The 25,223-nt window shown below is 57.2% G+C and overlaps 1 protein-coding gene across 2 annotated transcripts, besides 1 other annotated feature; it reads left to right on the top strand.

Annotated features, from left to right (window-relative positions):
- Positions 1 to 25,223: part of a sequence alteration artifact (region identified as an assembly artifact by the Genome Reference Consortium. This region falsely duplicates sequence located at GRCh38 chr21:44095806-44253496) that runs on past both edges of the window.
- Positions 726 to 24,513, top strand: LOC102724159 (periodic tryptophan protein 2 homolog). Of its 2 annotated transcripts, NR_160695.1 has the most exons (22): positions 726 to 761; positions 2,311 to 2,423; positions 7,080 to 7,174; positions 7,506 to 7,605; positions 7,952 to 8,095; positions 8,591 to 8,726; positions 9,018 to 9,247; positions 11,150 to 11,293; positions 12,092 to 12,162; positions 12,716 to 12,852; positions 13,677 to 13,825; positions 13,960 to 14,107; positions 14,281 to 14,431; positions 15,506 to 15,686; positions 17,910 to 18,057; positions 19,341 to 19,449; positions 20,230 to 20,295; positions 20,905 to 21,023; positions 21,264 to 21,482; positions 21,579 to 21,729; positions 21,884 to 21,958; positions 23,929 to 24,513. NR_160695.1 is itself a non-coding variant. In NM_001368238.1 (21 exons), the coding sequence occupies exons 1-21, from the start codon at positions 744 to 746 to the stop codon at positions 24,101 to 24,103; spliced, it is 2,760 nt and encodes a 919-aa protein (NP_001355167.1). In that variant the 5' UTR covers positions 726 to 743; the 3' UTR covers positions 24,104 to 24,513. The 2 variants fall into 2 exon arrangements, 1 of the variants encoding a protein (NP_001355167.1); NM_001368238.1 differs by lacking the exon at positions 20,905 to 21,023.

Here is a 25,223-nt window from a genome sequence, read left to right as displayed (position 1 = left end):
CCTTTTGGGAAACATTCGGATTTTTTTTTTTTTTTTTTTTTTTTTTCTCTGAGACAGTCATGCTCTGTTGCCTAGGCTGGAGTGCAATGGCGCGATCTGGGCTCACTGCAGCCTCCGCCTCCCAGGTTCAAGCCATTCTCCTGCCTCAGCCTCCCGAGTAGCTGGGACTACAGGCATGCGCCTCATTTTTATACTTTAGTAGAGATGATGTTTCACCATGTTGGCCAGGCTAGTCTCGAACTGCTGACCTCAGGTCATCCACCCGCCTCAGTCTCCCAGGCGTGAGCCACCGCACCGGCCAGCATTCGGGACTTTATTCATAATTCCTTACCCAACAGTTCACAAGAACGAAGACATTTGGGTGTGCAGCGCTCTCATGTTGTGGACGCTGCTGTGCCAGGCTGGGCGTCCGTGCGGAGCGCGCCCAGCGCTGGAGCGCGCCTAAGAGGCGCCCTGCAGTGTGGCTCCGGGGTGTGGGCGGGGCCCGGAGAAGGCCCCGCCTTGGGAGGGGTTGGGCCTCGCGTTCAAACTCCGCCTCGGGGCGGGGCGAGGGCGACGCAGCTCCTGCCTCCTGGGCCGCTGCGGACGGTGGTGCGCGACCCCGTCCCGGGCGCGCGCGCTGTGGGCGGTGCACGCCGTCGCTTCCCGGAAGTGCGTGCTGTGGGCGGTGCCGCGCGGACCCCCGGGAAGTGTCTCTGTGGGCGGCCGCCGGGTTGAGCTGCGGCACACGTGCGACAGCCGTGATGAAGTTCGCTTACCGGGTGAGCGCGGGCGGCGGGCGGTCTGTTGGATCGGCGCGGCTCTTCCGGTGGACGGCGCCTGAGCTGGCTCCGGGCGGGCTGGGGGCGCGTGGTCTGCTTTTGCGGCGTCTGGCCGCGTGGGGGTCGCCGGCTGTCTGCGCGCCCATGGCCTCGGGGACGCGGGGCTGTGGTGGGGCTCCTGGGAGAGCTGGGACGGAGGCGCCGACGGCTTCTCGGAGGGAACAGGGACATTTGTCGGGGTCCCGGGATATTTTTAACCTGAGTATGGCCCAACCTAAAGGCTGGAGTTGGTGCAGTCGGGGAGGGCACAGCACCCTCGGGAGGGATGAGGAGGTGGGACGGGGCGGGGACGCGGGCGCGCGCAGGCGGGGTGAGAACAGCAGGGACCCGGGGCCCGGGACTGGTCCCTAACGAGCGAGCGTCCAGGTGAGCGGAAGGGCGGGGAACCCAGGTGTGAGCTCTGTTTCCCGAGGCCGGAGGGAATTCCTGAGGCGGACGCCCTCAGCTTTGAGAGCCAGGGAAGACTTGTCCCAGATGTGAAGTGCAGGAGGCGGGTGAGACAGGTAATAAGAGGGGGCCGCGGAGCCGGCCTGGGGGTCTCTGAAGCGTTTGCTACAGCTGGCCGGTTATGGGGACGCCTGTGTTTCCCACAGTGGCCCTGACCGTTGCGCTTCCAGGGTTGCACGGGCCGCCTGCTGCTGAGCCCACCGTGTACTACACTTGTCCTGTCCGAAACTGGGCATGGTACTGGCCCCTCAGAGTGCTGCTCCTGTGTCCCCTGTGCTGGTGGAGCCACCGCTGTGTGCCCAGCACCAAACCAGAAACCATATCCACGTCCTCACAGGCCAGGACTTCATCCGCTCCACATTCCTACTGCAAGGTGGCAAAAAATGTGCCTTGGAGCCTGCCTGGCCGCTTAAAGTCCTTCTGCTGACCAAGCTCCTCCCTGAGGTCCTGAGGGCGCTGCCCACTCACAGCTTCAGGGCCTGGCTGGTGCCTTCCCATTTAGATTCCAGCTCAGGTGACCCTTCCAGGTGCCTCTCCGTGACCACCGTCTAAAGTAGCCCCTGCTCCCACACTTCTCATCCCCCTCCTGCTAGAGAGAGAATATAAGGTGTGCGTGTCTGTGCGCATGGCAGTCTCCAGTGAACGCTCGTGCTCGTGAGTTAGTAAATAGGATGCTGGCTTACCACACTTCTGGAAGCCCTGAGTTCTAAGCACTTTTGGGGTGCTGTTCCATTGTTGCAGCTTTTTTCTTGGTGAAGTGTGGGCTCCATGCCCCTCTTCACCTGGCAGACGCCTCCTGTCTTGGGAGGCTTCCTCAGTGCTCACAGGGGCATCTTACCCATCTCTGTGGGAGCTTGGGGCCGCCCGGGCTCCTCTGGTCTCCTGAGGATCAGGCTCACTTCTTCCTCTCTTACCCAGGAAAGGTGAACGGGCCCCCAAGGTGGGGTTCTCTATGCCATCTCTCTGCCCAGATGCCTCACTTAGTGCTTTTCTGGGAGTCGACTGTTTTCTTTGTGTTAAGACAATTTTGTTTTCTTCACAGTTTTCAAATTTGCTGGGTACGGTGTACCGGCGTGGGAACCTAAATTTTACCTGCAATGGAAATTCAGTTATCAGTCCCGTGGGCAATAGAGTCACTGTATTTGACCTTAAAAAGTAAGTATGTGAAAGTGGTATTCATAATAGTGATACTGATTACTATTATCACCATTTTTTAAGTAACATATGAAAACTGATAGTGTCTTCTGTGCCTTCCTTTTAATGGTGCACCCGTTAATTAAGGGAGCCCAGGAGAGGACTACAGGACAGACTAGGGTCAGCAGATCAGTTGTGGAAATTGGCAGCCAGACCCAGTTCTTCGTTGTAGTGCCTTAGCCAGGCCCCATAAAGTGGTGTGTCACTTGGCTCCGTTCTGTGGGAAGGGACCCTGTCCCTGTGCTGTGAAGGGTGGGTGGGGGAAAAGGTGTAGCTCAGGGTTAGCCCTTCCCCCATCAGGGAAGGCCCCTAAGGGCTGAAAGGCCAGGGCTGCTGGGGGAGTTGAAGGTACCTTGGACCCCTGCTCGGGAGCCCTGCTGCCACTGGGCCTCACCAGTCGGACGGGCAGGCCCAAAGCTTCCAGCTCTGCAGCCGGAGGTCAGTTTTATTCGCTGGGGTTTAGCGGTTTCTTCCTGTGTGCTGTTGCACTTTGCTTCACTTTGTTGCACTCTGGCTCTGTGCGGATGCTGTTTTACCACGAAGCGAAGGTGTGTGGAAACACTGCTTGGAGAAAGTTGGTCGGTGCCATTTTTCCAGCAGTGGGGGCTCACTTCATGTCTCTGTGTCACATTTTGGTAATTTTGTGATATTTCAAAGTTTATTATACCTGTGAGGGTGATTTGTGATCATCTTTGCTGTTGCTATCGTGATTGTTCTGGGGTGCCGTGATCCGTGCCCATGTAAGACAGCGAGCTTAATCGGTAAGCACTGTGTGTGCTGTGCCTGCTCCACCGACCGGCTGTTCCCCACCCCCCCACGTCTCTCTTCCTCTACTTGGGTCTCCCTATTCCCTGACACAAACAATGCTGAAATTAGGCCAGTTAATAATGGCCTACAGTGGCCACTACGTGTTCATGTGAAAGGAAGAGTCACACAACTCTCACCTGAAATCAGAAGCTAGAAGGGACTCAGCTTAGTGAGGAAGGCATGTCAAAAGCTGAAATAGGCCAAAAGCCAGGTCTCTGCCACCAAACAGGCAAGTTGTGAATGCAAAGAAAAAGCTTTTGAAGGAAATTAAAAATGCTACTCCAGTGAACACACAAATTACAAGAAAGCCAAAATAGCCTTATTGCAGATACGGATAAAAGTTTGAGTGATCCAGATAGAAGATCAAACCAGCCACAACATTCCTTTAAGCAAGTCAAAGCCTAATGCACAGCAAGGCCCTACCTGTCCTCTGTTCTGTGAGGGCTGAGGTGAGGAAGCTGCAGGAAAGAAGTTGGAAGCTAGCAGAGGTTGGTTCATGAAGTTTAAGGAAAGAAGCCATCTCTACAACATAAAAGTGCAAAGCGAAGCAGCAAGTGCTATGGAGAAGCTGCAGGAAGTTATCCAGAAGATCTAGCTGAGATCATTGATGAAGCTGACTACACTAAACACAAAATTTCAATGGAGACAAAACAGCCTTCTATTGGAAAAAGATGGCCAGGCGCAGTGGCTCATGCCTGTAATCCCAACACTTTGGGAAGCCAAGGTAGGCAGATCATTTGAGGCCAGGAGCTTGAGACCAGCCTGGCCAATATGGTGAAACCCCGTCTCTACTAAAAGTACAAAAATTAGCCAGGCATGGTGGCACATTCCTGTAATGCCAGCTACTCAGGAGGCTGAGGTGGAAGAATTGCTGGAACCTGGGAAGCAGAGGTTGCAGTGAGCTGAGATCGTGCCAGTACACTCCAGCCTGGGCAACAGAGCAAGACTCTATCTAAAAATAAATAAATTAAAAAAAAAGAAAAAGATGCCATCGAGGACTTACATAGCTAGAGAAAAGTCAGTGTCTGGCTTCAAGCAACAGGCTGACTCTCTTATTAGGGGCTAATGCAGCTGGGGCCATTAAGTTGAAGCCAGTGCTAATTCACTGTTCTGAAAATCCTAATGCCCTTCACAATGATGCCCAAGCTACTCTGCCTGTGCTCTATAAGTGGAACAGCAAAGTCTGGACGACAGCACATCTGTTTACAGCATGGTTTCCTGAATCTTTCCAGCCCATTGTTGAACCCACTAAGGTTCCTTTCAAAATATTTCTGCTGTTGGACAACGTACCTGGTCACCCATGAGCTCCAAAGGAGACGCATAAGGAGATGCTGTCTTCATGCCTGCTAACACCACATCTCTTCTTCAGCCTACGGGAGTAACTTTAACTTTCAAGTCTTACCATTTAAGAAATATATTTTATAAGGCTCTAGCTGCCAAAGATAGTGATTCCTGTAATGGATCTGGGAAAAGCCAATAAAAAGCTTTCTGGGAAGGAGTCGCCATTCTAGTTGTCATTTCATGATTCATTCAATGAGGGCAAAGTGTCGACATTAACAGGAGTCTGACAGAAGTTTAGTATCAAGCCTCATGGATGACTTTGAAGGGTTCGAGACTTTGGTGGAAGAAGTTACTGCAGATGCAGTAAAGATAGCAAGAGGATTCGAAATGAAAGCAGAGCCTGAAATGGGACTGAATTGCCGCAATGTTGCCATCAATCTTGAATGAATGAGGAGCTGCTGCTTGTGGATGAGCAAAGCAAGTGGTTTCTTTTCTTTTTTTTGAGACAATGTCTCACTCTTGTCCCCCAGGCTGGAGTGCTATGGCATGATCTTGGCTCACTGCAACCTCCACCTCCTGGGTTCAAGCAATTCTCCTGCCTCGGGCCACCCTACCAAGTAGCTGGGATTACAGGCGCCTACCACCACGCCCAGCTAATTTTTGTATTTTTAGTAGAGAAGGAGTTTCATCATTGTTGGCCAGGCTGGTCTAGAACTCCTGACCTCAGGTGATCCACCCGCCTCAGCCTCCCAAAGTGCTGGGATTACAGGTGTGAGCCACCATGCCCGGCCAGCAAGTGGTTTCTTGAGATGGAATCTACTTCTGGTGAGGATGCTGTAAAGACTGTTGAAATGACAACAAAGGATTTAGGATATGACATCAACTTAGTTGATAAAACGCTGGGAGCATTTGTGAGGATTGACTCCGGTTTTGAAAGAAGGTCTGTTGTGGGTAAAATGCTATCAAATAGTATCACATGCTACAGAGACATCTTGTGAAAGGAAGAGTCCATCGATACGGCAAGCTTCACTGTTGTGTTAGGAATTGGCAACGGCCACCCCGTTTTCAGCAGCTGCCACTGTGCCTGGTCAGCAGCCATCCACATCGAGGCAGACTGTCTGCCAGCAAAAAGATGAAGACTCACTGAAGGCTCAGATGATTGTTAGCATTTTTTAGCAGTAAAGTGTTTTTAAATTAAGGGATGCACGTTGTTGCTTTAGACAGAATGCTTGTGCACACTGATAGACTACAGCACACATGAGTAGACTGCAGCGCACACCAATAAAGTACACACTTCGACGACAGTACACACGAACAGACTACAACTCACACGAATAGAGCACAGTGCACGCTTACAGACTACAGCACACGCTAGTAGACTACGCCGTACTGTTTACAGTATGGTGTAAACACAGCTCGGCTGCGTATGGGGAAGCTGGAATGTGTGTGCCTCACTCAGTTGCAGTGTAAGCGTTATCTGCAGCATCTCCGCGGGATTCCTGTAGCCCCTTATTTTCCATTTTTCTAGCAACAGTGTTACATGGGTGCACTGTCATGGTGGTTAATTCCTGTTGGGCACTTAGCTTGCTTCTGGTATTTTGATGTCACACTGAGGCGGAATAATCCTCTCATCATATCATCCTGGAAGCAGAATTGATGTATCCAAAGCTCATTTTTAAGGCTTTTAATGCATTTCACTAGAGTTCCTCCAGGGACAACGTCATTTCTTTTTCTTTTTTTTTTTGAGACAGAGTCTTGCTCTGTCACCTAGGCTGGAGTGCAGTGGTGCGGTCCCAGCTCACTGCAACCTCTGCCTCCCAGGTTCAAGCGATTCTCCTGCGTCAGCCTCTTGAGTAGCTGGTATTACAGGCGCCCACCACCACGCCTGGCTAATTTTTTGGGTTTTTTTGTTTGTTTGTTTGTTTTGAGACAGAGTCTTGCCCTGTCGCCCAGGCTGGAGTGCAGTGGTGCAACCTTGGCTCACTGCAAGCTACACCTCCCGGGTTTACGCCATTCTCCTGCCTCAGCCTCCTGAATAGCCGGGACTACAGGCGCCCGCCACCACACCCGGCTAATTTTTTGTATTTTTAGTAAAGACGGGGTTTCACCGTGTTAGTGAGGATGGTCTCAATCTCCTGACCTCGTGATCTGCCCGCCTTGGCCTCTCAAAGTGCCGGGATTACAGGTGTGAGCCACCGCGCCTGTCCAATTTTTTGTTTTTTGTTTTTATAGTAGAGACGGGGTTTCACCATGTTGACCAGGCAGGTCTCGTACTCCTGACCTTATGATATGCCCGCCTTGGCCTCCCAAAGCACTAGGATTATAGGCGTGAGCCACCGTGCCCGGCCAACAATGTCATTTCTTTTTCAGGAGTGGGGGGTATCCACAGATGAGCTCTGGCTTGTGGGGTCCAGTAAGATTGGAGGCGCTACTTGGGGAGGGTGAGCCGCTGGTCCCAGGCCAGGCCTGGCCTGTCTCCCTCATGTGACTTGAGGACCAACAGCACACTGTGGTTTTTGTCTTTATCAGCAACAAATCTGACACGCTGCCCCTGGCCACTCGGTACAACGTCAAGTGCGTGGGGCTGTCCCCGGATGGCCGCCTCGCTATCATCGTCGATGAAGGTACTTGCCCTTGATGTGGGCGGGTACTGAGGGGACCAGTGAGGAGGACTCAGGGCTGTGTGGGTCTGAAATGATCCGCTCCCCAGTCGCCTCCGTGTTGGGGCCCGGGTGGGGATTGGGGATGAGGGTGTCATGGGCGAGGCTGCGTCCCCGCCGCAGGCTGTGTCTGTGGCATCACCTGTGGCAGGGCAGGGCCTCATGGCCCTTGGGCATTCTCAGTCCTGACTCCTCACAGTGGACGCGAGAAAGACCTTTCTCCGTTTTTCCCGTGCTATGTATCTGGGGTGGCCCCTGGGGTAGCTGTGCGGTGGTGACCTCTGGCGTCCTGCAGGGGGCGATGCGCTGCTGGTCAGCCTGGTCTGCAGGTCTGTGCTGCACCACTTCCACTTCAAGGGCTCTGTGCACAGTGTGTCCTTCTCCCCTGATGGCAGGTAAGGGGGACAGCTTGGGGGCAGGAGGGTTCGGCCGTGCATGCCGACGGTGAGGCCCACTGCCCAGCTCGTTTCCCTGGGCCCCGGGTTGTGACGTTGGGTTGGGCACACGGCCCAAGCTCTGGCATTGGTGACCCCCTTTTCTGGAGGAGAAGGCTTGGTGCGGCCAGGCTGCCCTCCCTCCAGGGCTGTTTCTTCCCTGACTTTTGCTTCCTCTGCTCCTTGGCCTCCATCCTGCAGGAGGCGGGACTCCAGAAGGCCCAGGTGGGTGCAGGCTGAGACTCCACAGTGGCCTTAGGGCCATTGCTGGTCTTGAATATCAACTATGTCCGCGTTCCTTCCATAGGAAGTTTGTTGTCACAAAGGGTAACATTGCCCAGATGTATCATGCCCCTGGGAAGAAGCGGGAGTTCAACGCCTTCGTTCTGGACAAGACCTATTTTGGGCCCTACGATGAGACCACCTGCATCGACTGGACGGATGACTCCAGGTGCGGCCTCAGAGGCTTCGGGGGAGCGGGGCTTGAGAGAGGCCCCTTGGACAGGTCACCCCCTTGGGCCCTGCAGCTTCGTTCCGCAATGGCATCTCGGCCTCCTTTGGGGCTGGGCGCTGCCCACACCATCAGGACTGGCTGGGTGGCTGTGGTCGAGTCTTCGCGGCTCTGAAGTGTGTGCTGTGGCCGAGCCTCCTGCCCCTGCACTGCCCTTTCACCTGTTTGTCCCAGAAACTGGGAATGCTGTGGTTGGCTCGGGCAGCGTCTGGGAGGAGTTAGGAAGGCAGACAGGGCAGGGACAGCGTCTGGGAGGTGTGAGGAAGGCAGACAGGGCAGGGGCTGTGCCGGGGTGTCTTCCTGTGCCTGGAGGCGTCTCAGCTCACTCTGAGACCACGTGGGGCTGTAGCGGTCTCCGTGCAGCCCTCTGGAGCTTGCACCTGGCTGCTTTGTTATGGCCAAGCCCTGAGGAGGTGCCATCTCCCTCTTTTCCAGGTGCTTTGTGGTTGGGAGCAAAGACATGTCCACCTGGGTGTTCGGAGCCGAGCGCTGGGACAACCTCATCTACTATGCACTGGGGGGACATAAGGATGCCATCGTGGCCTGCTTCTTTGAATCCAACAGCCTGGACGTATGTCCCTTTGCCAAGTTCCCTAGCCTGATGGTGGCCAAAAGCGGCTAGTTCAGGGAGGCCCCAGGCTGCAGGCGGCCTCTTCCTGCGGTTCCCCCAGGCTGTTCCCGTGTGGCCTGGGGGCATCTAGGGACCGATGGCAGCTGTGGCGGCCCATCGAGAATTGTTCTCAGAGTTCAGAGGGGCCGTCGGTGCCACTGGTCCCTGGATCTGAGCTGGAGGGAGGTGCCGGGTTGTGGCAGCTGGGCCAGTGTGGCTGGGGCTGGGGTGACCCTGTGCTTCCCCTTGCAGCTGTACTCACTCAGCCAGGACGGAGTGCTGTGCATGTGGCAGTGTGACACGCCCCCCGAGGGCTTGCGGCTGAAGCCCCCTGCGGGCTGGAAAGCAGACCTGTTGCAGCGGGAGGAGGAAGAGGAGGAGGAGGAGGACCAGGAGGGCGACAGAGAGACCACCATCCGGGGAAAAGCCACTCCGGCCGAGGAGGAGAAGACAGGAAAAGTGAAGTACTCACGGCTGGCCAAGTAGGTCTCTGAGGTGTGGTGGGCTGTGGCGGGGCACTCCTGTGGGAATCTCTTGCCCCCAGAGGGATCTGGATGTGGGGTCCCCAGGGCCGAGGAGTGGGAGGTACAGAGAGCAGGCCTGCGTCTCAGGGCCCCGGTTTGAGCACCCTCGAGTGCTTGGGTGTTGACCCTGCCCCTTAAGCAGGGTCCCTGCCTCGGCTGTCTGAGCTGCCTGTGTGCCCAGGGCAGGGCAGAGGGCGGTGGGTAGGGGTGCATAGGGGGCAGGGAGGTGTGCGGGCACTCCGTGACGGGAATAGCAGCACCTTGGGCCCTAAGGGGGTTGGGAGTTGTCTGTGGCCCCACCAGCTTCTGTGGAGTTTGGTGTGGGCGATAGTCCCTTGGCCTCGTGCAGGGAGATGCCGGGAGAGCGTTTGGCAAGGGTGGAGGGAGGGACCGGGCTGTGAGTGGGCGCAGCGAGTGGTCTGAGTCCTGCTTCGGGGCCCGCTGGTGGGTGGTACTTGGTGCTTTTTCAGGCACTGAGCTGGGCCGTGCAGCCCCGCATCCGGACTCAGTCCCCCAGACGAGACGAGATGAGATGAGACTGAGCCCGGCCCCACGGACTGCCTGTGGGATGGCCTTAGCTGTGCCTGGAGCCCTGGCAGAGATGCTGCCCTGATTCGGGGTGTCCCGCGTCTGGGCTGTGGGGGAGGCTGGTCAGGATCACATGAAGGCAGAGTTGCCCGCAGCTATGGTGTCTCCGTCACCCGGGTGCCCCAGCCTGGGCCCCTCCTTGCTGCAGTTGCTTAGCGCCTGCTGTGTGCAGGGCTCTGAACTTGGCACTGAGACACACTGCCCACCCTTGTGAGGCCTCCTCTCCGCCGGGGAGGAGAGGTGCAGTGATGAGGTGGCTGCGTGCGGAGGTGGGCGGCAGTTGGGGTCCCTGGGTGGGGAAGGCGCCCACACAAGGCCCTGCCTGTGGAGGGAGCCAGGCGGCCAGAACGGGCTGCCTTTGGAGGGGTTGGGGTCTGCTGGGTAGGTGGGAGTTGTGGCCATGAGAGCCCTGGGTCTGAGGAGCAGGGAGGGCCGGCTGGACTCCAGTGGGAGGAGGGTGCTTTGCCAAGGGCAGCGGAGTTGGAGGGTGGCCAGAACAGGTCCAAGTGGGTCAGTGCCCACAAGTGAGTCAGTGCCCGCGGGTGGGTCAGTGCCCGTGAGTGAGTCCGTGCCCGTCAGTGCCCGCGGGGACTTGGGGGTGTTGTGCTGGAGTCAAGACTTGAACGGGGACTGGAGGAAGAGGAAGGGATGATGGGCCCCCCAACCCCGCCCTGGGGAAGGGAGGTTCCAGGCAGCTCCAGGAAGACAGTGTGCCTGCTAGGCGGGGACTGCGGGCTGTCAGCGCGAAACATGTGAAGGGAGGGCCTGCTGCATTGGCAGCCAGTGCTCCCTGTCACTTGTTCAGGAGGGACGGGGTCCAGAAAGGAGAGGGAAGGACCAGGGCTGAGCTACAACGTGACTTGGGGAGGTTTTGAGGGCGGGGGTGCCATCAGGGTCACCTTCGTCTGCTGATGGGGACCGAGGGTTCCTTAGAGGAGGAAGCAGCAGGGGATGATGGGATTCGGGTGTGCCTGGCGGCCATGCCGCGCCTCCCGCACCTCCTCTGCCTCCCATGGGCACTGCTGTCTCTGGGTGCACCACTAGCTCTGCTGTGGGGCCAGCTGGCGACAGTGGAGATGCTGTGTGAGGTTCCTTTGGGGTCCCGAGCTTGGGATGGAGGCGGGCAGCTTCAGGGCCTGGGGTGGAGAGGGAGAGGGCAGGTCTGGGACCTCCTGCCTGGATCTGTGGCCTGTGTCCTGGAGCCCAGAGCAAGCTGGGGTGGCAGTCTGGCTCTGCGCTCCTCCTCACAACTCTTCTCTCTCGTCAATTCAGGTACTTCTTCAATAAAGAAGGGGATTTTAACAACCTGACAGCTGCAGCATTTCATAAGAAGTCTCACCTCTTGGTCACTGGCTTTGCTTCTGGAATCTTCCATCTTCATGAGCTGCCAGAGTTTAACCTCATCCACTCCCTGAGGTAAGCCTTTGCTCGCAGTGGGGTGTGGTTTTATGCACTCACTGGCCCTGAATCTGAGGGCCCAGCCAAGCCTGCCCTTAGCAGTGGGGGCAGCAGAGCCACTTGGAGCGCCGGCTCAGGCCACAGGACGGCAGCCCGAAACCTGCCCGGCCGCTGGTGCTGGTCAGTGCGACAGTGTTGCCGCCCCCACTGGCAGTCAGCAGCATTGGTCTCGGGTCAGTCACAGCCTTTCAAGTTTTTGTCTCCGCTTTTCTTCATCTGTGAGACACAGAGAACGAAAATACTATGCTCATAAAATTGTGAAGTTGCAAGTTGTTGAACCCTGGCCTCCCCTCTGGGCCTTCTCTGATTCTTTTCTTTGAGACAGAGTCCTGCTCTGTCGCCCAGGCTGGAGTGCGGTGGCGTAATTCGGTTCACTGCAACCTCCGCCTCCCGGGCTCAAATGATCCTCCCACTTCAGCCTCCTGAGGAGCTGGGGCCACAGGTGTGCGCCACTACACCCGGCTAGTTTTTAAATTTTTTGTCGAGACGGGTCTTGCTGGGTTTTCCCAGCCTGGTCTTGAACTCCTGGGTTCAAGCAATCCTTGCCTCCGCCTCCCAATGTGCTGGGATGACAGGCGTGAGCCACTGCACCCAGCCCTCTGATACTTGAACTGAAGTGAATTGTTGAGTCTGGTGAGTGGGTGGGGTAAGCTCTGCACACAGGGATAGAATCTGGTGTCTGGGGCTGCCCTGAGTGGGCACTGGGGCTTCAGCCCGGGCAGGCTGGCCTCCCACTTACAGGCCCGTTCTCTGCAGCATCTCAGATCAGAGCATCGCCTCAGTGGCCATCAATAGCTCGGGGGACTGGATTGCTTTTGGCTGTTCAGGTTTGTCCCCAGCCTGGGTGGTAGAGATGGACTCCCCATTAGGGACCAGTGCTGCCCGGCTACAGGCTTACTTGACAGCCACCCACTGGGGGTGCCCTCCCCTCCCCCAGTTGTCTTCCATGGGGTGCCCTCTCCCCCAGCCGCCTTTCAGAAGGGGCCCTCCCCTCCCCCAGCTGTCTGCCATGGGGTGCCCTCCCCTCCTCCAGCCACCTTTCAGGGGGTGCCTTCTTCTCTTCCAGCTGCCTCCCAGGGGTGCCCTTCCTGCTCTGGCCCTCCTCAAGCACCTCTCTGTCTTAAGCCCCTTGCTCAGGGGTTGGGGGTCATAGCCTGCCTCAGTTGTGACCTGCAACCACTGGGTTGCACGGGCGGGGCCCATCACTGGCTGGTGAAGCTGCAGCATCGGGCAGTGGTCCCAGCCTATGCTTGGGGGTTTGTGCGTTTCACCCCCTGCCCGGCAGCTTTCTCAGTCCTGTGCCAAGTGGGAAGGTGGGCCGGGCCAGTCTGACCTGGGGTGGGCCTGAGCCGCGTACCCCAGCTTCCCCCGTGTGCACAGGCCTGGGCCAGCTGCTGGTGTGGGAGTGGCAGAGTGAGTCCTACGTGCTCAAGCAGCAGGGCCACTTCAACAGCATGGTGGCCCTGGCCTACTCGCCCGACGGACAGTACATCGTGACTGGCGGGGACGACGGCAAGGTAGGCTCCTGTCCCCGTCCCATTGGCCTCTGTGCCTGGGGGGCTGTGAAGATGCAGTGGTCTGTGGGGCCGTGTCTTGACGGTAGGGCTGGTGTTCACAGCTTCACCCGGGCTCATGAGCTCAGTAGGCGTTTAAAAACATACAAAAATGTGAATGGAGAGGGTTGGGTGTCCCTCTTTCCCCTTTCTGACTTGGTCTCCTGCACGGTGGTGGCTGCGTGGCGGGGAGAGGGTCTGTGGTGCCGGCAGCCGGCATCCAGCCAGTGTCCAAGGGGCTCCAGTACGTGGCCGAGGGTGGGTCCATGGTACTGGCAGCTGGCATCCGGCCAGCATCCACAGGGTTCTGGTGTGTGCAGTGCCCCTGCGGGCCATCTAGGCCTTAAATGGGCTCCTCCTGGAGGTGACAGGAAGAGACTGGGGCAGACGGCCCACTCACCACCCACTCAGCACAGCCTCAGGCCTGTTGGGGAGGCTGAGTGAGCCAGGGCAGCCGTGGGCACAGGGGCAAGGCTCTCAGGATGTGGCGTCACATGCGGGGGTCTCAGGGATGGGGTGTCAGTTGCAGGTGGGGGTCTCAGGGATGGGGTATCAGTCACAGTTGGGGGTCTCAGGGATGGGGTTTCAGTCATGTGCGGGGATCTCGGATGGAGTGTCAGTCACAGTTGGGGGTCTCAGGGATGGGGTATTACTCACGGGTAGGGTCTCAGGGATGGGGCAGTACAGGGGCAAGCATCTTAGATGGGGCGGCATGGGGACAGGGATCCTGGCCGAAGCCGTGGCACACAGGGTTGGGGTCTGCCCCTGCCCCTCCTGTCCTGCCTCAGGTCAAGGTGTGGAACACCCTCAGCGGCTTCTGCTTCGTCACTTTTACGGAGCACTCCAGCGGGGTGACCGGTGTGACCTTTACTGCCACCGGCTACGTTGTGGTGACCTCATCCATGGACGGGACCGTGCGAGCCTTTGACCTTCACAGGTGATGTTTTTGCTCCGGATTGGCTTGGGGCAGGCTTCCCCCACGCAGAGGTGAAGGTGGAGGGTGAGGCTGCAGTGCAGCTGCTGGGGCAGGGGACCCTGGCACGTGACTCTGACCTTGCCTCTTCTCTGCAGGTACCGAAACTTCCGCACCTTCACCTCTCCACGCCCCACCCAGTTCTCCTGTGTGGCGGTGGATGCGAGCGGTGAGATCGTCTCTGCAGGGGCGCAGGACTCCTTTGAGATTTTCGTGTGGTCCATGCAGACAGGCAGGCTCCTTGATGTAAGCACCCTGAGGGGCTGGGCTGGGGCTCAGGAGGGGCCCTCCTGTCTCCTGGGAGAGGAGCGCAGGGAGCTGAGGTTACACTCCGAGGGCCCATGCCCCTGGCCCAGAGCTGCCCAGAGAGCCGCCTCGGCCGCCACCTCCACTCTTCACGCCTCCTTGCTCTACGGTAGGTTTTGTCTGGACACGAAGGGCCCATCAGTGGTCTGTGTTTTAACCCAATGAAGTCCGTCCTGGCCAGTGCCTCCTGGGACAAGACGGTGCGCCTATGGGACATGTTTGACAGCTGGAGGACCAAGGAGACGCTGGCCCTGACCTCTGATGGTGAGCACGAGGCAGCAGGCAGGAGCAGCGGCCTGGGGACCAGCAGCATGCTGTCACACCCACTGCCCTGTTCCTCGTTGTGGGTTTGGTGTGAACCTTCTGGTGGGAAGCAGGGGGTGGCTTTTATCCAGACCTGCTGGTGTGGCAGCCCTTGAGGTTGGCAGTACCTAGGAGACAGCAGATTGGCGAGTCAGGCCAGCGTGGCTTCCACAAGTCCTTGTGGGGCTCCCGCTCTGTGGGCAAGTACGCCAGGCAGGAGAGAACAGCTCCCCGAGGGTGAAGGGCTGCTGCCGCAGCTGCTTCCTGATTTTCGGAGTTGCTTTGGAGCTCTGCCAGGGCTGTGTCACTGGGAGAAGGACACAGGGACCATGGGGGGCCCAGACGCTGGATGCGGCCAGTCCCGGAATCTGCAGACTGGGAGAAGGATGAGGGGGCCATAGGTGGGCCCGGAAGCCAGATGCGGCTGCCCAGGGATCTGCAGACTGGCCTCAGGCCACTGCCTGTCTTTCTGACGGGGCTGTACTAGAGGCAGCCGTGGCCTCCTGTGTTCATATGGTCTGTGGCTGTCAATGCCTCAGCGGCGGTGTTGAAAGACCACGTGGCTCACAAAGACCCAGCCCATCCATGTCCGGGTGTGGACAGACTCTGCCATCCCAGGAGGCTGGTTCTCTCTGCTTCCCGCTGCCTCACCCCACCCCCAGGCCTGGCATTGGCCAGGCTTTTGGCATCACATGTGGCTTCTTTGCAGAGGCTCTGTATTCTAGTCTGTCCAGCCGCCCTCAGTAACCACCATCACTCACCCATCAGCCTCACCTTCCCAGCGCCCCCTCCATCGGCCTTTGTGGGTCCTGTGGCCCCAGCTGGACCGCCTGGTGCTCTTCACTGGCGCTGAGTTGTTCCTCACCTGTCTGGGTTGGAGCTTCTCCTGGGAGGAGATTCTTGTGTACCAGACCAAACAGGCGCTGGTCTCTTAGGGGTGCCAGGGCACGGCCTGGTCTCCAGCCAAGGGTGGTTGGTGGCCTGCCTGCGGGAGACTGGGGTCTTCGTTGGGCCTTACTTTGCATCTCTGTTTAGCTCTGGCTGTGACTTTTCGCCCTGATGGTGCGGAGCTGGCTGTGGCCACACTGAACTCACAGATCACCTTCTGGGACCCTGAGAACGCGGTGCAGACGGGCTCCATTGAGGGCAGGCATGACCTCAAGACTGGCAGGAAGGAGCTGGACAAGATTACAGCCAAGCACGCGGCCAAGGGGAAGTGAGTGTCAGCATCGGGCCTCCTGATTTGAGACCCCAGCCAGCCACCAGGCTCCTGCAGCTTCTCCATTTTTGGCCTTGTTCTTTGTTCCTGAGACCGCTGAGTCCCTGTGGGTGGAGGCAGGTGGTCCTGAGCCCTCTGGGGAGAGTCCATGTCCTCCTTAACTCCTGGGATCGCACAGCCCCCAGCACAGGAGGACGTCTGGATTTACTGAACATAAACTTGTTCAGCTGAGAGCTTGCATCCACTTCCAAACCTTGATCCTGAATTATGACATCGTCCTGGTGTGCAGAGGGGAGAGCAGCCGGGTGCCCGAGCTCACACTGGAGACCTGGCACTTGGGGAGGCTGAGGCAGGTGGTTTGCTTGAGCCCAGAAGTTTGAGACCAGCCTGGGCTACGTGGCAAAATGCCATCTCTACAAAAAGTAGAAAAATTAGCCAGGTGTGGTGGCACATGTCTGTGGTCCTAGCTAGTCGGGAAGCTGAGGCAGGAGGATCGCTTGAACCCGGGAGGTCAAGGCTGTAGTGAGGATGGCGTCATGCCATTGCACTCCAGCCTGGGTGCTAGAGCAAGACCCTGTCTCAAAAACAAAACAAACAAAAGCAGAAAACAGCCCTGGCAGCCTCCTAAGAGTAAAAATGCAGGTCCTCAGTCACCTCACTTGACTAGAGAGTGCTACGTGGATGGTGAAGACATAGTGTCCCCTTGTCTCAAGGAGTCGGGCCAGCACAGCACTGACCAAATTGCCTGCGCGGGGTCCTGGCTGGGCTGTGAGGCTCACCTGGGTGGGGGTCAGGCTTAGGAGAAGGGGGAGGATCTGTGGGATGTGCCCGGGGTGGGTGGCCTTGGGGGCTGGACCTGTGTCCCAGGAGCTCAGAAGCCTGTTCAGCAGAGGGTCTTCCTCCAGAAGGAAGTAGCGACCCTGTCTTGGAAGTGGTATGAATGCCTGTGTGCAGTCCTCATGGGTTCGCCCTGAGTGTGGAACTGCTGGGTGCTGGTGGTTCTGTTTCCAGCTTGGAGGAGCTGCACGGTTGCCATTCCCACGAGGAACGCTGTCGGCTTCTGGCTTCTCCACCTCCTCGCCAGCACTTGTTGCTTTATTATTATTATTTTTTTAATGAGAGCTGTTGGGGTGGATGTGAATTCGTATCTCATTGTAGTTGTGATTGTGGTTTCTCTAGTGACATTCAGCATTTTCTGTCTGCGGCTTGGCCGTTTGTAAGTCTTCTTTGGAGAAGTGTCTGTTCAGGTCTCTTGCCTGTTTTTGAATTGGGTTGTTTGGATTTTGGTTGTGGATTTTAGGGGTTTCTCTGATACCTGATGTGCAGATATTTGTTCCGCTTTGTGAACTGTCTTTCCACCGTTTTGGTGGCACTCTTAGTTCTGATGATGTCCACTTTGCTCATTTTTTCTGTTGTTCTTTGTTCTCTACTGTCATAACTAAGGGACCTTGCCCACCCCGAGGCGTCTGTTGAGCGGGGTGGTAAGGGCTGGTTTCTGGTTTCTGCAGGACTAAGCAGACGTGACTGAGAGTAGGCTGCTTAGGGTGGAGGCCGACTGGTCGCCGTTTTGTGCTGACCTCAGCAGGGAACACTGTTCCTTGAGCCACTTGTTCCTTTTGTGAAAAAGACATTGATTCTCAGGAAGCGGAAGCATCTAAGGGTGGTGCTGGCTCAGAGCGGAACCAGGTGATGGCACCATTGGACATTGTGGGTTTTAAAAGTCTCGCGTGAGTTGAGGCAGCGAGCCTTGGCGAAAGTTGCTGAGGCTGGTGTTTGCTTCCTGGAGGGCTGGTATAGGATCTCCTCTATTTCCTAAGGTTAGTTTTTATTTTATTTATTTTTATTTTTATTTTTATTTTTGATTTTTGACACGGTCTCGCTCTTGTCACCCAGGCTAGAGTACAGGAGTGCAATCATGGCTCACTGCAGCCTCCAACCCCTGGGCTCAAGTGATCCTCCCACATCAGCCTCCTGAGTAGCTGGGACTACAGGCATGTGCCACCGCACCCTGTTAATTTTATTTTTTGTAGAAACAGGGTCTTGGTATATTGTCCAAGCTTGTCTTGAACTCCTGGACTCAAGCAATCTTCCCAACTCAGCCTCCCAAAGTGCTGAGATAACAGGCGGGAGCCACCATGCAGGCCTAAAGTTGGTTTTTAGGAGCCATACGCTGAGGTTTCCGTGGTGGCCACCGTAAGTCCATGTCTCCTCTCCACCCAGGGCCTTCACCGCCCTGTGCTACTCTGCAGACGGCCACAGCATCCTGGCGGGAGGCATGTCCAAGTTCGTGTGCATCTACCACGTCCGTGAGCAGATTCTCATGAAGAGGTTCGAGATCTCTTGCAACCTGTCTCTGGACGCCATGGAGGTGAGCCGCCAGCGCGGGGCCGGATGGATGTTGCTTCCAATGCAGGTGGAATGCGTCGGGCTCCTGCGTTCTGCACTCCTGGCTCCATGGGGCCTTGGGCACAGTTGTGGTGCTTGTCCTGTATCTAAGTGCACGGGCCCCTCACCTGCCCCAGCAGAGTCCGGCCGTGAAGCCAGCGCCTGCCTCAGCTGTGTGTGGAGCCACGGTCCCCAACCCTTTTGGCATTTGGGACCGGTTTCGTGGAAGGCAATTTTTCCACAGACAGGGTTGGGGGGATTGATTTTGGGATGAAACTGTTTCACCTCAGATCAAGATCACCAGGCATTAGATTCTCAGAAGGAGGGTGCAACCTAGATCCCTCACGTGTCGTTCACAATAGGGTTCGCACTCCTGTGAGAATCTAATGCTGCCACTGATCTGTCAGGAGGCGGAGCTCAGGTGGTGATGCGAGCAATGGGGAGCGGCTGTAAATTCAGATGAAGCTTCACTCATTCACCTGCCCACCACTCACCTCCTGCCGTGCAGCCTGTTTCCTAACAGACCATGGGCCAGTACCAGGGGTTGGGAACCACTGCTGTGGATGACCCTGCCGAGGCTGGTTGCTAGGAGGCTGGAGCTGTGAGGGGCAGTGCCCAGCACACGCTGGCTCAGGAGACACGGACATCTGTCAGGGAAGGAGTGAACGAAGAGGGTGCTGGTAGGCCCTGCCCGATGGCTTCCTGCCCAGGGTCCTGTGTACAAGGCTCTGCCTTCACTGTCCCCACTGGTGCCTGCCCTTCCCCCTCAGCACAGCCCTCGGCTCAGGTCCCACTCACATGCTGGCTCCTGCAGGACCTCAGAATGAGAGTGAGGAAGCCCTGGTAGCCTCTAAGCAGGGGTGTGGCTGCTGGGTTCACCTGTCCACGCCCCATCGGGGCAGAAGCCCACTGTCCCCTAAATGTTTCTGGGGGAAAGTGTCCTTGGCATTTTCACAAGGGAGTAGACGGCCATCCTCGCTGTGAGCCCCAGCCTTTGTGATGGTGGCAGCAATGCCAGCATGTAGACCTCAGTCCATCCCCCTCCGCAGCCTCCGCACCTGCCCTGCTCCACAGCTTCCACACCCACCCTGTCTGCAGCTAGCTCTGCAGGAAGAGTCCCTGGGGCACTGCAGGGCTCTCTCCCCGTCCTTGTTCTAGACAGGGCTGAGGCTTGTCTGGTGTTGGGGTCAAAGAGCAAGGGTAGGAGACGAGGGCCAGGCGGCCAGGCCATCAGAAGCAAGGCGTCCACTGCTTTTGCTGTTCTAGGAATTTTTGAACCGAAGAAAAATGACAGAGTTTGGCAACCTGGCACTAATTGATCAGGATGCTGGGCAGGAGGATGGAGTCGCGATACCACTGCCAGGCGTCAGGAAAGGTGAGCAGAGGTTCCTCCCGCATCTGCCCACCACTCACCGGTCCTGGGTGACCACGCATTCATGCCCCTGGTTGGGGCTGCAGTGTGTGGAAATAACAGTTACTACATGGTGACATTTGCTGGACACTGGGGGTGTCAAAGGCCCAGTGGGTTGGTGCTGGTGCCGTCAGCCCCTGGGCAGGAGAAGCTGCCCATGTGTTGCTACACGTGGCCTCCCTGCCCTGGCGGGACCCGTCCATTTGCTCTTGGGACTGGGTGCCCCGTCTGCTGCACAGCACACGGAGCATTCTGGCGTGAGGCCATGTGCGCCGCACAGAGAGCCAGGTGCTCTAGAAGATCTGGGTCCCAGGTAGACCATCCTGATGGGACACTCGCCAGCCAGAAACCCTGAGTGCTTCCATATGCAGGCCCAGGGTACCGTGTTGAGCACAGCAGACCCACTCCTGGGCTGGGCTGGGGCCCTTTTCTGGGTTGGACACACAGTCTGCTGGCCGGGCTGGCTTTTTTGAGCATCTGCCCCATGGGCTGGGCCATCTGTTTGGCAGCTCACCCGGAACAGCCTCCGCGGCCCCAGCACGGGCCCACCTGCCGCAGCTGCAGCGAGGGAAGGGCTGCTTCTGCCTCCGCTTTGTGCAGGACCCAATGAGTAGAGGCTGCTGCTCTTGATGGGGCTCCCACAGCACCCCCCAGCCAGCCGGGAGACCGCAGGATGACTTGCTTCGTGGGGAGAGCAGCCTGGATATGCTGTCCAGTGATCATTAACGGTTCTTTTTTCCCCAGGTGACATGAGTTCTCGGCACTTCAAACCTGAGATCAGGGTGACCTCACTCCGCTTCTCTCCCACTGGTGAGCACTGAGCCATGGGCTTTTGGTGCCGGTGGGCACTGGGGCATCTGTGCCATAGCAAGGCTGGCCACCATGGAGCTGTCTGCAGGCTCTGGGCTGTGCCCTGTGCCCCTGGGTAAGAACATGGCCCTGCAAACCCTGCAGGCCACAAGATGGCTGTTGTCCCTGAGGATGGATGGCTGTCACGGTGCCAACCTCAGATGCACTGAGCTTTGAAACATGGCAGGCCTGGTATGCCCTTGCTCTAGCAGCTCCCCGAGTGCCCTGGACGTGCTGCCTGGGGGCGGCTCTGCCATCACGGAGAGCCCGTCTCCTGCGCACTGCCCCCATCCTCTCGCAGTGGGGAGGAGGGTCTGTGCCACAGGCCTGTGGAGCCTGGCGGTGCACATGGTCCCCACACAGAGGAGCCAGGAGCAGGGCTATTGGCAAGCGTGCTCCAGCCTAGACTGAGTGTCAGAGCCAGGGGCAGAGAGGCCCATGTGAGCCAGGGGTCTGTGCCCTCGGGCCCAAGGGCCAAATCTGGCTGGCCACCTGCTTTGGTCACTGATGTTTTACTGGGACATTTTACTGGGCGTTTTTTTGTTGGCGGATCCTTCTGGCTGTCTCTAGTGATCCGTGCAGCACTGAGTAGGTGCAGCAGAGACCACAGGGCCTGCGGAGCTGAAGACGCCTGAGCTAGACAGAAGACTTGGCTGGCTCCCGGCGTCAAGAGAGGACGACGCATGCGTGTACATATTTGCTTATATGTGCATCCCTGGGAGAGTAACTTCTGGGATGATCCATTCATTCCTTCCCAGGGGAGTAGTGGGGTGGGGGCTAGAGGCAGACGTCCCGGTTCCTCCTGATTTTTGCACTTTGTCCCAGGGGAATGTACTTAATACTGTTTCTTTAAAAAAAAAAAAAAAAAGAAAAAAAATGTTGGGAGGAATGAGCTTAAATTTTTAGGAAAGCACTGCTTAATTTCCCAGGGCGCTGCTGGGCGGCCACCACCACGGAGGGACTCCTCATCTACTCCCTGGACACCCGCGTGCTCTTTGACCCGTTTGAGCTGGACACCAGCGTCACCCCCGGGAGGGTGCGCGAGGCACTGCGCCAGCAGGACTTCACCAGGGCCATCCTCATGGCCCTCCGGCTCAACGAGAGCAAACTGGTGCAGGAGGCCCTGGAGGCGGTGCCCAGGGGCGAGAGTGAGTTGGGGCTTCGGTGTCGGGCGCCGGGGTCATCCTCTCTTCCCCTGGTTTGAGTTGGTGGCAGAATAAGCATGATTTTTTCTCCTTTTGCAGTTGAAGTGGTCACCTCCTCCCTTCCTGAACTGTATGTGGAGAAAGTGCTGGAGTTTTTAGCTTCCTCCTTTGAAGTGTCTCGCCACCTGGAATTCTACCTCCTCTGGACTCACAAACTGCTCATGTTGCACGGACAGAAGCTGAAGTCCAGGTAGAGGGTCTCCCCCGCAGTTCATCGGTGGCTCAGGTCACTGGACCAGCTTGTCCTGCTGGATAAAAGGGAACTTTGACATGCCAATGCAGCATGAAGTGAGCCCACTGTACCACGGGGTGAGCCCCGCACGCTTAGGGAGTCTCCCTTTCAGAGCCGGGACGCTGCTGCCTGTCATTCAGTTCCTCCAGAAGAGCATCCAGCGGCACCTGGACGACCTGTCGAAACTGTACGTGTGGGTGCAGGGCCTGGGGGTGGGTGGGGTGCACGGTCCCCTGCTGGTCCACACTGTGGAGTGCTCCTTGTGTCATCTGATTTGAGGACAAAAGGAACCAGTGCTGGAGGCTTGTCTTCTCACCTGCGGGTGAACTGCACCTGCCCGGCCACCCCGTGGTTGACCAGCTTGGGAAATGGCCTGGCGCTGAATGGAAAGCAGTGAGCACTGTGGCAGGCAGACAGGCTGCAGGTGGCGCGCTCCAGGTGCGGCCGGAATCCTCCAGGCTCTTGGAGGGATTGCTGCATTCGTAGGACCAGGCAGCCTTTCCTGAATTTGCAGGTCACTTGCACAGGCAGTGGGGGTGGTCACAGGACTGTGAGGCCAGGCAGCCTGGAGTCCTGGAGGTGTGGCTGCCCTGAGCTGTGGCTCCCCTAGAAAAGGGTGCTGTTGCTGCTGCTGCGAGGATTCATCCGCGGGCCTAGGACAGGGCCCGGCCCTCCGCAGTGCTCACTCTGCAGGGGTGCCCGCCTCTTCTCCTGTCATTTCTTTGTGGTTTGTGCCTTTTTTGTCCCTACCAATTCACCTTCCCTAAAGGTCCTGCAGAGCCGGGACTAGGCAGGCCTCAGAGTAGCCATGTGAGGGATATCACCCTCTGTTGCCAATCAGTTGCCGGGTTTCCCAGCTGCGTTTCTGAACGGTCTGTTCTCTGTCCTGTTTGCGAGTTGCTCTGTCCAGGGTTCAGGGGCAGAGCCTGAGTTTGGGCCTTGTGGGTTCATGTGGTCCTCCTGTCTGTCCTTGAAGTGTCACTCAGTCTTTGGAAAGAGTCCTGGAGTCCAGGTCGAGCCTGTCCTCCCCTCGTGTTCTGGGTGCCCTACAGAAGGCTGGGATGTGCCCTGATCCACAGTTTTGGTGCCAGGCCTTCCCTCGGCTGAGATGTCCTGGACTTTTCACAGAGCTCTGTAGGGGAGGAGGGTTGTCTAGCTCCCTTATTTATGTATTTATTTATTTTTTAATTCATTATTATTATTATTATTATTTGAGATGAAGTCTCGCTCTGTTGCTTAGGCTGGAGTGCAGTGGCGTGATCTCGGCACATTGCAACCTCTGCCTCCCAGGTTCAAGCAATTCTCCTGCCTCAGCCTCCCAAGTAGCTGTGGTTACAGGCACACGCCACCACCCCCAGCTAATTTTTGTATTTTTAGTAGAGACAGGGTTTCACCTTGTTGGCCAGGCTGGTCTGAAACTCCTGACCTCAGGTGATCTGCCTGCCTCTGCCTCTCAAACAAAGTGCTGGGATTATAGGTATGAGCCACCATACCCGGCCCAGCTCCTTTAGATTTATTCCCTCTTATGGGATGTTTTTAGAGTTCACGTAAGCGCATTGTTCCTTGGACCTCCTGTCTAGGCGTTCACTGCCAATCTGTAGGGTTGCCATTGGCTGTCAGGAAGAGTCCTGCACAGAGGGTCCTGTGCCCTGCAGATGCGATGGGGCGCTTCCTTCCTTTCTCATCCATTTATCTTTCAGTTCTCCTTTCCTATGTAAAGTGATGGTGGCATCACTTTTCTCCTTTATTCCATTAACTCAGAAAATTAACTGATTCAGAGCGTGCCTTCCTCCCCTCTCGCTCCACAACACCACATAGCTCTGCAGCGGTCTCTTCCTAAGTGTTTGGTGGAACTTGCTGGTGAAGCCATCTAGATTGGGCCCAGCGGAAGGGCTGAGCTGCCAGGATGACCCCAAAGGGATGGGATGTTACAGTTGGGTCCTTGGGTCCTTGAAGGCCTTTGCTGCCCCAGGGCTGGATGGGGCAGAACCAGATTGTTGGGGCAGGGAAAAGAGGAAAAAAATGGCTGCTGGGGTGGAGGAACCGGCATGTCCAGCCCCTGCTGCTTTTCTCAGGGGTCACAGAGGAGGTGGTTGGGTGCAGGACAGGCCAGGGCCTGGGCGTTGCTGGCATTGACCATCCCTGTGTGATTGACAGCTGTAGCTGGAACCACTATAACATGCAGTACGCACTAGCAGTTTCCAAGCAGCGGGGCACAAAACGCTCCCTAGACCCGCTGGGAAGTGAGGAGGAGGCAGAAGCATCTGAAGATGACAGCCTGCATCTGCTTGGAGGAGGAGGCAGAGACTCAGAAGAAGAGATGCTGGCCTAGAGCCAGCCGGTTGCAGCGTTGGATTGTGCCGGCTAAGACCTGCCAGGGAGATGGGACCCTTGTGCCACCTGGGCCAGCAAAGAGGAGGGGTCCAGAGAACAGCTGAAATACTGTCACTAGTGGTAGTGACTTGCTTTTCCTGTGCACACATGTAGCCCATCAGGACAGCGAGCCGACGGGTCACGCCAGGGGCCGGCACGCACTGGCACCTGGCCCCAGGAGCGGGGCCGTGTGAACGGTGATGAATGTTGAAAATGCGTCTCAGAGAGGTATTCACATGAACTTTGTATGAGACTTATTTATATTTTTAACATAAAGGTTTGATAAAGAACTTAGGGATTAAAAAAAAGATGGAGTTTTCTAACGTGAGGATGAAGTCTACACTTCAGATTAAAAAGGGTTATGTTGTATCCTGCTGTCTTGTGGGGGCTCAAGACCTGCCTGCCTTACCACCAGGGCCTCCGTCCTGGGGAAGCAGGCTGACAGAGCAGGGTGCTCCTGCTGTCTAGCGGGGGCTCTGCCCTGTGACCTGTGCATATCCTTGGGGTCAGGGGCACAGAGCCTCTCCCTGACCTCTTGGGGACGCTTTGGAGTCTGGGGCTGGGATTGGCCTGTCTTGGTGAGCTCACTCAGACCTGCACCAGCTCTGCGTGGGCCACACGGAGGAGGAGACAGCTCCTCCCCTCTGCAGTGCCCTTGGGAATAGTCATCATGAGAGAGGCTTGGGTCTCCATCATGGTAGGGCATCCTGGTCCCCACAGCTCAGTAACAGCAGCCTCCAGGGTCAGGACCTGAGGCTGACACTGAGGTGGGCACTTCACCGACTGCCAGTGCTGTCTGCCAGGCCCAGCCTGTCCCTCGCCAGCGGTGTGGCCCCCAAGACCCTGGGTAGTACCTGGCTCCCTTGCTTATCTGGGAAGTGGAGCTGATATCTGCCTGCCGGCCTCCCGGGGGTGGCGTGAGGCCAGATGTGCTAGAGAGTGGAGATGAATACGACAGGCAGTGCCTTGTGGCCCACAGCACTGTACCTGCAGGCCTGCAGACCAGAGGTCTTTGTAGAAGGGAGGAGCTCAGGCCCTGATGACACCAGGTGTTCTGTGGCTGCACAATCTCCGTGACC

The sequence above is a fragment of the Homo sapiens genome, chromosome 21 (genome assembly GCF_000001405.40).
Source record: "Homo sapiens chromosome 21, GRCh38.p14 Primary Assembly".
In the NCBI taxonomy this organism is placed as follows: Eukaryota; Metazoa; Chordata; class Mammalia; order Primates; family Hominidae; genus Homo; species Homo sapiens.
This window is presented reverse-complemented; position numbering and strand designations above follow the sequence as displayed.

What these genes read in the sequence shown, in the direction of transcription:
- LOC102724159 (NM_001368238.1), top strand. An exon ending in ACTCCGCTTCTCTCCCACTG is followed by an intron (nt 20,296 to 21,263) that starts GTGAGCACTGAG and finishes TTAATTTCCCAG; the next exon opens with GGCGCTGCTGGGCGGCCACC. An exon ending in CTGGACGACCTGTCGAAACT is followed by an intron (nt 21,959 to 23,928) that starts GTACGTGTGGGT and finishes TGTGATTGACAG; the next exon opens with CTGTAGCTGGAACCACTATA.